Raw genomic sequence first — 13,859 nt, forward strand, 5'->3', positions numbered from 1 at the left:
AGAAAGATATGAGTGCCAGTGTCATCCAGTTAGAGGCTAAAAGGCTTTCCTCCATATGCGTTGCTCGAATGACTGATTCAGATGTCCTCTGTGTGTACCTGTGGAAGGTGGGAAGCACTCAGAGGAACTGGCCTCCAAGAGTTTTCGGAAAGGTATGGTTATATGAAGAGACTTCCCCATAGAAGGACTAGGTCTAATCTAGAGTTCAGAGTTTTGTTGGGGAGAAAAATTCCCCGTTTTTGGCAGTGGTTCTCTCTGGTCTCAATTTTTCATTCTGATTCCAGCCTTCTGGATTCCATCTAACAATGACTTCTTGACTTTTCTCTTTGCAGTTTTAACAGTGTATGCCAGGGAACACACATTCTCTTTCGAGAATTCAGCTTCGTCCAAGCCACCCCCCACAATAGGGTATCATTTTTACGGGCCTTCTGGAGATGCTTCCGAACTGTGGGCAAAAATGGCGGTAAGTCTTCCCAAATTCTTTTTCCTTCCTTCCTTCCTTCCTTCCTTTCTTCCTTCCTTCCTTCCTCTCTCTCTCTTTCTTTCTCTCTCTCTTTTCCTCTCTTTCTCTTTCAAACTTTTTCTTTTGTTCCTATAAATATTGTTTGAATGCATGCTATTCAAGGCATTTAGAATACCTCACTTTTGAGGAGTTGTCTGGTTTATGTCAAAGATATTACTATTACCACTACCATCACTAATGGTACCTATTAAGAGCCAAGTGTAGCTCTTTACATGTAGTAACTCATTTATCTTTACAAGGGCTCTCTGTGGTAGATACCATAATCCCCATTTTGTAACTAATGAAACTGAGGATCAGAGAGGTTAAGTAACTTGGCAAGGTTACATAGTAAATTCTGGGCCCAGATTTATACCCAGGCAGTCTGACTTCACAGCCCTTGCTCTTGGCAGATATTAAAATGCCATGCAGTAAATACAAGGAATAATGTGAATATGAAGAAAGAAACTCCTGAATGGGGGTGGGATGGGGATACTGTTGTTAGAGAAGGGAGAGAAAAGTGGAGTAGAGAAGGTTCTCCTTAGAACTGACTGTTTGATCTAAGCTGGGAAGGAAGAGTAGGAATCATTCACATGGATAAAGGAGAGAAGGGCATCCTAGGTAGAACATATGCTGAAGCACAAAAGAACCTAGAATACTTACATAACAGATCAGGATGTCTAGAGTTTGTGTGGAGTTTATGAAGGAGGTTAGGGGAGATGAGACTGTAAAGGAATAATGGAGCTGCTGAAAGATCATTTTTTAGCCATAAAAAAGAAATTGGGCCAGGCACAGTGGCTCAGCCTGTAATCCCAGCACTTTGGGATGCCAAGGCAGGTGGATCACTTGAGGTCAGGGGTTTGAAACCAGCCTGTCCAACATGGTGAAACCCCGTCTCTACTAAAAATACAAAAATTAGCCAGGTGTGGTGGCGCACTCCTATAATCCCAGCTATTCAGGAGGCTGAGGAACGAAAATCGTTTGAACCCTGGGGGACAGAGGTTGCCGTGAGCCGAGATCGTGCCACTGCTCTCCAGCCTGGACGACAGAGCAAGACTCTGCCTCAAAAAAAAAAAAAAAGAAAAAAGAAAAGAAAAGAAATTGGGGCTGGATGTGGTGGCTCACACCTGTAATCCCAGCATTTTGGGAGCCCAAGGTGGGAGGATCACTTGAGCCCAGGAGTTTGAGACCAACCTGGACAACATACTGAGACTTCGTCTCTACAAAAAAATAAACAAAATTAGCCAGGTGTGGTGGCACATACCTGTACTCACAGCTACTTGGGAGGCTGAGGTGGGAGGATCACTTGAGCTGAGGGAGGTTGAGGCTACAGTGAGTCATGATTATGCCACTGACTCTAGCCTAGGTGACAGCGAGATCCTGCTTCAAAAAAACAAACAAACAAACAAAAAAGTTAAATTTTATTCTCTGGGTATTATTTGAAGGCTTTTTTTTTTTTAAAGACCCTGTTGCAGCCGGGCACGGTGACTCATGCCTGTAATCTCAGCACTTTGGGAGGCCGAGGCGGGCAGATCACAAGGTCAGGAGATCGAGACCATCCTGGCTAACATGGTGAAACCCCATCTCTACTAAAAAATACAAAAAAATTAGCCGGGTGTGGTGGCGGGTGCCTGTAGTCCCAGCTACCCGGGAGGCTGAGGCAGGAGAATGGTGTGAACCCAGGAGGTGGAGCTTGCAGTGATCCAAGATCGCGCTACTGCACTCCAGCCTGGGTGACAGAGCAATACTCCGTCTCAAAAAAAAAAAAAAAAAAAAAAAGACCCTGTTGCCCAGGCTGGAGTGCAGTGGCATGATCATATGATCATAGTTCACTATAACCTTGAGCTTCCAGGCTCAAGTGATCTTCCTAACTCAGCCTCCCAACTAGCTAGGACTACAGGTACATGCCTACCATACCTAGCTAATTTTAAATTTTTTTGTAGAGACGGGGTTTTGCTGTGTGGCCCAGGCTGGTCTCAAACTCCTGGGCTCAAGGCCTCAGCCTCCCAAAGCACTGGGATTACAGATGTGAGCCACCATGCCCCATCTTATTTGAAGGCTTTTAGATAGGAGAGTGGTGTGGTGATATCTGAGCTCTAGAAAGATCATTCAAAAGGCAGTGTAGAAGATGGCCTAGACTAGAGACAAGGAACATAGAAGTCTGGTAGTAGTTGAGTGAGAGATTAGACCCAACACTAAGGCAGTATGGAGACAGAAGGGGCACTTTCAGAGATAGAATCCATAGGATTTGGTGATTGGATTTGGCATTAAGATGAGAGAGAAGACCGTGGTAATTTCCAAGTTTTTGGCTTGGGCCACTGGGTAAGAATATTTTTTAAAAGCCTTCAAGTAATAGCCACAGAATAAATTTCAATTTTTTTTTTTTTTTTTTTTTTTTTTTTTGGAGACAGGGTTTTACTCTGTCACCCAGGCAGGAATACAATGACACAATCTCAGCTCACTGCAGCCTCGACCTTCCAAGCTCAGGTGATCCTCCCACCTCAAGTAGCTGGGAATATATTTGTGCACTACCATGTGTGGCTAATTTTTCTATTTTTTATAGAGTTGGGGTTTCGCTATGTTATCCAGGCTGGTCTCAAACTCCTGGGCTCAAGCCACTCGTCCACCTCAGCCTCCCAAAGTGCTGGGGTTATAGGCGTGGGCTACCATGCCTGGTCTCCTACTTTCATATTATGTGTTTTCATAAATACCTTTAAGACAATTTCTTGCTTGCTTGCTTTTCTTTTTCTTTCTTCTTTCTTGCCTTCCTTCCTTCGTTCCTTCCTTCCTTCCCCTCCCTCCCTCCCCTCCCTTCCTTCCTTCCCCTCCCCTCCCCACTGAGGTTATAGTCAGTGAATAGGTAGTCTCCCTGCTTTTGAATTTATGAGATTCCCCACCATGCTCTAATCAATGCTACTGCTACGAAACTGTAACTTTTCTAAATAGCTACTAAATATATAGCTATTAAACTTTTATATGTAGTTACTAAATCTTTTCTAAAACTTTTCCACCCAATATCTTATTAGTTCCACTGCCCTAAGAAATAGGTAAAGTGGGTATTATTGTGCCCATTTTGTAAATAATGAAATTGTGTAACTTGCAGAAAGATTTCATGGTGAATTAGTAGCAAAGCTAGAAATTGAACCCAGATTTACTAATATGCTGATGTGCTATTTCTACTATTTTTACTTCAATCATTGCCTCTTTGACATATAACTCTGGAGATCATGCATCTCCATTACAGTATTATGAAAGAAGTACTTAGTGTACTGAGGATCGTATCATTTCCCTTACAGAATAAATGCACTAATAGGCAAAAACCAATGTGGACTCAATTTTAAGTTAAGTAATTCAGAAAAACTATTCCATTGGTCTCTATGTAAACAAAACTGGGAACTGTGAGTATATAGGTAAAGCTCGTGCTATGTTATCAGAGGTTATCTTTCCCAGTCCCTCACTCAGTCAGCAAATATTTGTTTTAGACCACCTAGTACAGTCGTCTCTCAGTCTATGCAGGGATTGGTTCCAGGACCCCTGTTTATACCAAAATCCACGCATAATCAAGGCCTACATTAGTCCTGTGGAACTCTCATATGTGAAAAGTCAATCTTCCGTATACAGGGCTTCATATCCCTAGAATAGTGTATTTTCGATCCATATTTGGTTGAAAAAAATCCACCTAAAAGTGTGGACCTGCACAGCTGAAACCTGTGTTGTTCAAGGGTCAGCTGCATGTTGAAGAATATGGCTAGAGCTAGTTTCTGTGATAGAACATATGGAGATAACTATGGAAAACAGTCTTCAGATAGCCTTAACTTTTTTCCTGATATAGAAGTGGGGCCTCTTCAAGAATGTATTTACTATCACGAGGGATTCATATAGCATTTGGACTCTTAGCAGATGTGGGTTTCTTTATCTTTCTAATAGCAGCTGCCAGTGACTCATCCAGCTGCTAAGAATAAGCAGCTCCAAATTCCCCCAGTTTCTCCTTGTGCCATAAACAAGACCTAGATTTTATGCTGGCTGTTTATTGTTATCCTTCTTAATCAGACAGCCTCAGATTTCTTAGACTAAATGCAACATCTGTGTCTAGGTGTTCCTAAAATAATTGGTTAAGTAGCTTTAATGTATTCTCAGCTTTTTCTAGGAAACTCCAGAACATCTTTCTAAACCAGAATGTGTCAATCTCCAATTTTAATCCGGAATTAGTGAAAACTCTTGGCGGCAAGGTTCTAAAGGAAAGGATTTATTAAGCCCCATTTTATCAATTATAATGCCAGGTACCTACCTACTCAGTGGAACTCCTACTGCATTATTCTTCTGCAGATAACTTCCTTAGAATGTCATGTGCATACTTTAGCATTATCAAGTGGAAAGTAACTCTTCTGGGAGGTAGCAAAACAAGAGCATAACATATCTAAAAATGAAGCCACCTGTAGAACTCTAAGGACCTGGTCCCTTTTGACAAAAAATATTTTATTCCAGTTTTTAGCAAGTACAGGATATGATATCTTTTCTGCATGACTGAGTACTGATGCTAATTATCTTGTCCAAATTTTAGATAATCTCATGAAGACTGTAACAAACCTCTTGGTATCTAAGCAACTTTAGACTCTTGGAAGCAAAAGTTATATTAGAATTTTAAAAGCCTTTAAAATTACACTTCTCACTTTGCTAATTTTTTCTGTATAGGAATATTAATCTGAATTTTCTAAGTCTGGCAAAGATTGATATTCTCTTAATGTAAATCTTTACTTCTGTTTAGGGATATCGGCTCAAAAGTGCCTTCTCCAAGTTTATTTTCAATTAGAATTTAATTTTCAATATATACATATATACACATACATACATATATATATTTCATTTGATAAAATAATGATAGGTACTTCCTCTTCTATCTGTGAAGAAGTATCTACTAAGGGAATTGCCCTCTTGCCACTAACAATGAGAAAATCAGCATATCTGAAACAACAGTTTTCAGACATTGGGCAATAGGCAGTGGGGGCTGTGGATTCTGAGAGCCAGTTTCCAAGCAACAGTATAGGGAGAGAGATTGTCAAAGAGCTTAGCAGTGTTATTGAGTTGAGGAGGCAGAGACTGGGGTTTAGGGAGGCTGGAGCAGCCAGTATTTACAGGTCAGAATCCAAGAGAGGAAGAAGTTGTTCAGTGAGCTCCAGAATCTTTGGCTACAAATTCTGCATATGTGTGGGCTGGAAAAAGAACCACCAGAAAACAGTGGGCCAAACAATTTCTGGAGTATACAAGGGGCTAAGGATAATTCAAACTTCTACCAGCCATAGGGAAGAGACCTCAAAACACACCGGGCACTGGGTAGAGTTCTCAACAGTTTAAAAGCAAAAAGGATTAAATCGATCCGCAAGTAATTTAATGCTATATAAGAACAAAATTCAATAATCTTTAAAGGAATTTAACAAAATCCAGCATTCAGCAATGCAAAATTCACAAAGTCTGACATCCAATTCAAAATTACCAGACAGGCCAGGCATGGTGGCTCATGCCTACAATCCCAGGACTTTGGGAGGCCAAGGCAAGTGGATCACTTGAGCCCAGGAGTTCATGACCAGCTTGGGCAACAGAGCAAAACCCTGTCTCTACAAAAAATTTAAAAAATTAGCCAGGTGTGACACCTGTGGTCCCAGCTACTCTAATGGCTGAGGCGGGAGGATTGCTTGAGCCTGGAAAGTTGAGGCTGCAGTGAGCTGTGATCGCACCACTGCACTCAAGCCTGGGCAATAGAGTAAGACCCTGTCTCAAAAACAAAACAAAACAAAATAAAATTACCAGACATTAAAAGAAGCAGGAAAATACAGCCCATAACCAGGAGAAAAATTAATCAATAGAAACACAGATCCAGAAATGACAGAGATGATGGAATTAACTAACAAGGACCTTAAAATAGTTATTTTAAATCATATAAATATGCTTAAGTATGTAAAGAAAACATGAATATGATTAGGAGATTAGTGGAAGATATTAAAAAGATCCAAATGGAATTTCTAGACATGAAAAATACAATATAGTGAAAATGATAATAATAGCAATTAACATTTATTAAGTGCTTCTATGTAGATTATCTCATTTTTCTTCACAACAACCCTATGTGTTAGGTAGATGCTATTATTTCCTTTGCATAGAAAATGAAACAGATTTAGAATGTTAAATAACTTGCTGTAGGTCACACACCCAGTCAATGAAAAAGCCAATGCCAGGAGAAGCCATGAAGTCTGACTCCAGGCTGTATTATTGCTTCAGCGTGTTATGCATCAACACTGCATGACAGGCTGGAAATACAAATGAGTAAGTGACAATACTTGCCCTCAAGGAGCTCTTATTCTAGGAGAAGAAACAGTAGCATAGGAACCAACCCAAATGCCCATCAATGATAGACTGGATAAAGAAAATATGGAACATATACACCACAGAATACTATGCAGCCATAAAAAGGAACGAGATCGTGTCCTTTGCAGGGACATGGATGAAGCTGGAAGCCATCATCCTCAGCAAACTAACACAGGAACAGAAAACCAAACACTGCATGTTCTCACTCATAAGTGGGAGTTGAACAATGAGAACACGATGGACACAGGGAGGAGAACATCACACACCAGGTCCTGTTGGGGGGCTGGGGGGTGAAGGAAGGGAAGTTAGAGGGCAGGTCAATAGTTGCAGCAAACCACCATGGTACACGTATACCTATGTAACAAGCCTGCACATTCTGTACATCTATCCCGTTTTTTTTAGAAGAAATAAAATAAACTAGATTCTTAATTCAACCCCACCCCCTCTCTGCCAAAAAAAACCTGAGTGGTGTAGAAATAGTCTCCATAGAGTACAGGTGATTTTTAGAGCCACACATAAGATTCCATAATAGCACAAGGGAGAAAATAGTCAATTCTATAGAAGCGGGTGAAGGCTATAAAGGTGCAAAGACAGTTGGGATGGATCTTGGAGCAGTAGAAAGCTGTTAAGCAAATAAGGAATACGTTCTAAAAACAGGGAACACGATTTCTGAAAGTATGATAACATGAAACAACATGGTTCCTTTGGAAAGTGGTAAGAAGTCATTGTGGCCAGTATTTAACACATAATAAGGAAACACTACCACAGTCAATAGGAGATAATGCGGAATGCTTTTATGTGCCATACACTGAGCAAAATGTTTACATGTATTCATTCATTTAATCCACACAATAAACATATGAGTTGATATGATTACTATCCTGTTTTATATGTTAAGACACAGAGTCCGCTGGGCGCGGTGACTCATGCCTGTAATCCCAGCACTTTGAGAGCCCGAGGCAGGTGGATCCTTGAGGTCAGAAGTTTGCGACCAGCCTGGCCAACATGGTGAAATCCCTTCTTTACTAAAAATACAAAAATTAGCTGGGTGTGGTGGTGCATGCCTGTAGTCCCAGCTACTCAGGAGGCTAAAGCAGGAGAATTGCTTGAGTCTGGGAGGTGGAGGTTGCAGTGAGCCAAGATCATGCCACTGCACTCCAGCCTAGGCAACAGAGCGAGACTCTGTCTCGAAAAAAAAAAAAAAGAAAAGAAAAAGAATCGAAACTGAGAGTCAGAGGATTAAGTAACTCACACAAGGCCACAGCGCTTATAAGTAGCACAGCTCATATTCCAACCTACGTCTTCACAAAGTTCACATTTTCACATTCTTTCTCTTTTCTTTTCTTTTTTTTTTTTTTTTTTTTGTTTGAGACTGAGTCTCACTCTGTTGCCCACTCACTGCAACCTCTGCCTCCCGGGCCCAAGCAATCCTCCCACCTCAGCCTCCCTAGTAGCTGGGAATACAAGCACATACCACCACACCCAGCTAATTTTTGTATTTTTTGTAGAGATGGGGTTTCACCATGTTGCCTAGGCTGGTCTCAAACTCCTGGGCTCAAGCAGTCCACCCGCCTCAGCCTCCCAAAGTGCTGATTACAGGTGTGAGCCACCACTCTCAAGCCCACAAAGTCCACATTCTTAACAACTCTGCTGTGCCTGCTACCCCAGGTTATGAAGGGCTTTGTGTGCACTAAAAAGCATAAGAATGATACAATGGACTTTGGGGACCCGGGGAAAGGATGGGTTGGGGGTGAGGGATAAAGGACTACAAATTGGGTTCATTGTTACTGCTTGGGTAATGGGTGCAACAAAATCTCACAAATCGCCACTAAAGAACCTACTCATGTAAACCAGATACCACTGGTTCCCCCAAAACCCTATGAAAATAAAAAATTTCTCCTGAAGTTAGTAGAATCTTCTCCATTTGTGTGGTATTTTCACATGTAACACAGACAAAAGCATGGAAAATGTAAGGCAGGTAAAAGTGAAAGCATAGACCCGTTAGGAGACTACTACAATATAACAGAAATGACCATGAAAATGAAGAGCTATTTAAGAAGTTGGTTTGACAGGATTTGCTGATTCATTGTGTGAGGGATGTGGCAGAGAAAGAGTCAAGAATGAATGCCAGAATGTAAAGTATGGCCAGTTTTATCCCTCTCTTGCTTTTTTCCTTTCCTTTTTTTTCTTTCATCTTTTATGTTTCACTCTGAATTCACAGTGGTTTTGTGTTCATATTTATTCATTCGACAAACATTTATGTATCAGTTCTTGGTGATAAAGCAGTGACTGGGACAGACAGAAATTTTTATTCTTGTCAACTTTGCTGTATGATCAGAAAATTGACAAAAATCCCTGCTTTTATAGAGCTTACATTCTAGGAATCAGGGAATTGCAGTGGGTCTATCTGAGTATGTGATAAAAATCTGTTAGTTTTTCTAAAATATCTATTGTTTATGGTGGACAAAGTGATGTCAAGGGAAAATGCAGACACTTTAGGCTGAAATGAAGATGTTGGTCTGACTTCTTTTTGTAATTGCCTTGAACTTCACTTGATTTTGCTTGTCACTAATCCTTATCTTCACCAGTAAAAATCATTCAGTGAGGATTAATAGCGCTTTACTACAGGAGTGGGTGGCTGTCTTTGAATTATTAAAGAGCAATTGTTGCTTCTGTAATGTTTTAAACAAACAAGAACTGTTCCATGTGGTCTCTTCAGTGATGTGGGCCCCACCAGCCAATTATCTTCACCTGCTCCAGCCAGTGCATCTCCTCTTCTCATTTTCTCCCAGAAACCAGATGTAGACAATCAACAAGAATTTCAGTGCCTGTTTCCTAGCTCCCGTTTTGTTTATTTCTCCTGAGTTCCTAATTTTCCCTTTGTTTTTCATGTTTATTTCCTTCTTCAAAATCTTTTCTCCAGGGAGAAAATTGACAATTGATGGCCCCTCAAATCATTCACCTCTGTACCTCCAATAACTTTAATCTTTCCCCCTATTTAATGTTCTCTTTTTTTTCAATGTTGGTTATTTGGGGCTCTTACGCAAGCATTCCTGGAATGCTTTTGTCACTATCTTCTCTCCCACCTGAAGCTCCTCAACCCTCCATACATAATACCTGTAGGTTTTAGTTTTAAAGGTCAGGTCCTTAAAGAAGCCTTCTCTGTGACTCCCTTCCTTATCTGAATTGGGTCCTTCCATTATAATTTTTCAGATTATCCTCTGATTTTTATCATATCATTTATTACAGTTTCTGACTCAGTATTTACTTGAATGACTTTTAATGTCCATCTCCCTTATTAAAATTATAAACTTTATGAGTACAGGAACCTTGTTTGTTTTGCCAGTAATTATATCCCTAGCACCTAATACAGGTGAATGATTTTTTTGTTATATAATATGAAGGCTTACCTTTTCCCAGTAATGATACAGAAGATAGATTATTGAATGGATTATATTATCATTCATTTTATCAGAGGATAGGTTAGTTTTTAAAATCTGCTTTACACTAACTTTTCTATATTGTATAGGAACTTCTGATTTAAATTAATAATAGCTACCCCTTATTGAGCAAATGCTATATGCCAGGTACTAAAGTTCATGTTTAAAGTGTTCCACTAAAAACCAGCCTAATCAAAGCTATACTATACTAAATAACACCTAATTAAAATAATATTCAGTATTCCAAAATAAGGATTTGAAAGATTTAGATCATGATCTGTAATCAAACTTTAAACACTGGTGAATAGTACATCCGTTCCTTCTTTTGTATTCTGGGTTTTTGCCTTCACTCCATGAAAGGTATCACAAACTAGTAGTCGGCTAACTACACATGCCTTGGCCTACAGATGTGTCTTCTTTGACTTTCAGTGTTAAAAATACTTAGATTCAATTAGATGCCAATGTTTCACATAAAAGTCTCAATTTCAGTTTCACTTGAAGAATGGAAAATCCTCCCAGCACCATGCCCACATTCCTGCAGGGAGACAGTTCACCAGGGCAGAGATGCAGCTGCTCCCTTTAGACAGGGCATGTGGTCTCAGATTTACCACCAACCCAAGCTGCCCTGCTTCACCTGCTGACATTCCCTGCGCGTCTGTAGGCATTGGAGTTTGCTACCATTGCTAGAGCTTCTTGGTCCATTTATAATCACTAAAAGGTAAAGTTTCACTCTTAATTCAGTCAGGAGCTTTTTCCTCAACTATTAATAGATTCTCTTTCTCTTTTCTCCTTGATATCTCCATGATATCACATAAAATTTTAGAATTAGAAGGGACCTTAGAAATTATTTCATCTTGAAACTAGGTCTTAAATATATATATATGGTTTTTCTTATTATTGTGGTAAAATATATAACAAAATTTACCATTTACCACTTTTTAATTTGAGAAATCTTTTTTATGGCAATAAAACCTATATAACAAAACTTACCACTTTAACCATTTTTAAGTGTACAGTTCCGTGGCATTAAGTACATTCACAGTGTTGTGCAACCATTATTACCCTCCATCTCCAAAACTCTTTATCTTGCAAAACCGAAACTCAGTAGCCATTAAACAATGACTCCCATTTCTCTCCTCCTCCAGTCCCTAGAAACCACCATTCTACTTTCTGTATCTATGTATTTGACTATTCTAGATACATCAGATAAGTGTGTACAATATCTGTCCTTTTGTGTCTCACTTATGTAACTTAGCATGATGTTTTCAAAGTGCATCCATGTTGTAATATGTATCTGAATTTCATTCCTTTTTATGGCTGAATAATATTCCATTGTGTGTATATACCACATTTTGTTTATTCATTCACCTGTTGATGGCCACTTGGGTTGTTTCTACATTTTCGCTGTTGTAAGTAATGCTGCTATGAATGTAAGTGTACAAATATCTTTCTAGTCCCTGCTTTCCATTACTTTGGGCACATAACTAGAAGTGGGATTACTGTACCATACAGTAATTTTATGTTTAATTTTTTGAGGAACTGCTGTAAAGTTTTCTACAGCAGGTGTATCATTTTACATTCTCACCAGCAATGCATAAGGGTTCCAGTTTCTCCACATCCCCAATAATGCTTGTTGCTATTTTCTATTTTTCTGATAATAGCCATCCTAAAGAATGTGAAGTGGTATCTCATGGTTTTGATTTGCATTTCCTTAATGACAAATGATGTTGAGTGTCTTTTAATATGCTTATTAGCCATTTTATATCTTCTCTAGAGGAGTATCTATTCAAGCCCTTTGCCCTTTTTGAATCAGGCTGTTTTGTCGTTGAGTTGTAGGAGTTCTTCATGTATTCTGGATATTCATTCCTTATCAGGTATATGATTTGCAAATTTTTTTTCTGTTCTGTAGGTCATCTTTTCACTTTTTTTTTATCATATCCTCTGATGTACAAAAGTTCTTAATTTCAATGAAGTCCAATTTATCTGTTTTTCTTTTGTCCTCTGTGTTTTTGGTGTTATATCTAGGAAATCATTTACAAATCCAGTGTCATGGAGATTTCCCCTATGTTTTCTTCTAAGAAATTTCTAGTTTTAGCTCATAAATTTAGGTATTTGATCAATTTTGAGTTAATTTTTATGTAAGGTATTAGGTAAGGGTCCAACTTCATTCTTTTGCACGTGCATATTCAGTTTTCCCAACACCATTTATTGAAAAGACTGTCCTTTCTCCCCTTGAATGGTACCCTTTGCACCCTTGTCAAAAGTCAAATGACCATATATATGAGGATTTTTGTTTCTGGGATTTACATTCTCTTTTGTTGGTTTGCCTGTCCTTATGATTACTGTGGCTTTGTAATAAGTTGGGGTTTTTTTGTTTTGTTTGTTTGTTTGTTTGGTTTGTTTGTTTTGAGATAGAGTCTCACTCTGTTGCCCAGGCTGGAGTGCAGTGGCACGATCTCAGCTCACCGCAACCTCCACCTCCTGGGTTCAAGCGATTCTCCTGCTTCAGCCTCCTGTGTAGCTGGGATTACAGGCACATGCTACCACACCCGCTAATTTTTGTATTTTTAGTAGAGACGGGGTTTCATCATTTTGGTCAGGCTAGTCTTGAACTCCTGACCTTGTGATCCACCTGCTTCGGCCTCCCAAAGTGCTGGGATGATAGGCTTCAGCCACCACACCCAGCCTTGTAATAAGTTTTAAAATCAAGAAATGTGAGTCATCCAACTTTGTTCTTCTTCAAGGTTGTTTTGGGTATTCTTGGTCCTTTTAAAGATATTTTATGAATGGTTTTTTCTATTAAAAAATACCATTGGAATACCATTGGAATTTTGATAGGATTGCAGTGAATCTATAGATCACTTTCGGTGGTAGTATCACCTTGACAATATTAAGTCATTTAATCTATGAACATAGGATGTGTTTCCATTTATTTAGGTCATCTTCAGTTTCTTTCAGCAATTTTTTTTTTAAGAGAAAGTGTCTTGCTCTGTTGCCCTGGCTGGAGTGCAGTGGCACAATCATAGCTAATTGTAGCCTTGAACTCCTGGGCTCAAGCAATCCTCCCACCTCTGCCATCAAGCCCAGCTAATTTTTTATTTCTTTTAGAGATGAGGTCTCACTCTGTTGCCCAGACTGGTCTCAAACTCCTGGCCTCAAGCAATCTTCCTGCCTCTGCCTTCCAAAGCAGAGGGGTTGCAGGCATGAGCTACCACGCCCAGCCTCTTTCAGCGATGTTTTGTAGTTTTCAAGTATACAAGTCTGTCACCTCCTTGGTTAAATTTATTCCTAAGTATTTTATTCTTTTCATGCTATTGTAAATGGAATTGTTTTTCTTAGTTTCCTTTTCATATTTTTCATTGTTAATTTATAAAAATATAATTGATTATTATTATTATTATTTTTTTGAGACAAAGTCTCACTCTGTCGCCCAGGCTAGAGTGTAGTGGCGTGATCTCGGTTCACTGCAACCTCCGCCACCCGGGTTCGAGCAATTCACCTGCTTCAGCCTCCCAAATAGCTGAGATTACAGGGACATGCCACCACCCCAGCATGTAATT

General features: G+C 39.5%; 1 protein-coding gene across 7 annotated transcripts in view, besides 1 other annotated feature; it reads left to right on the forward strand.

Annotated features, from left to right (window-relative positions):
• The window catches only part of CSTPP1 (centriolar satellite-associated tubulin polyglutamylase complex regulator 1), a 227,697-nt gene that overhangs the window by 115,367 nt on the left and 98,471 nt on the right, over positions 1–13,859 (forward strand). For 6 of the 7 annotated variants that reach the window (NR_103471.2, NM_001278222.1, NM_001003678.3 and 3 more), the window contains one exon: positions 333–463. The exons of the other annotated variant lie outside the window; for it this stretch is intronic. Coding sequence is in view for 5 of the 6 variants with exons in the window: in NM_001278222.1 (NP_001265151.1) it covers positions 333–463 (131 nt within the window). In the remaining variant the exon portion in view is untranslated. The remainder of the gene's footprint in view (positions 1–332; positions 464–13,859) is intronic. 7 annotated transcript variants of the gene reach the window in all.
• Positions 5,200–5,749: an enhancer, noted in NCBI's record as "NANOG hESC enhancer chr11:47078806-47079355 (GRCh37/hg19 assembly coordinates)". NCBI's record gives its function as "activates a minimal SCP1, AML or CMV promoter by ChIP-STARR-seq in primed H9 embryonic stem cells {active_cell/tissue: H9 hESC(primed)}" and the evidence as "EXISTENCE:reporter gene assay evidence [ECO:0000049][PMID:30033119]".

Source organism: Homo sapiens, chromosome 11 (genome assembly GCF_000001405.40).
Source record: "Homo sapiens chromosome 11, GRCh38.p14 Primary Assembly".
In the NCBI taxonomy this organism is placed as follows: domain Eukaryota; kingdom Metazoa; phylum Chordata; class Mammalia; order Primates; family Hominidae; genus Homo; species Homo sapiens.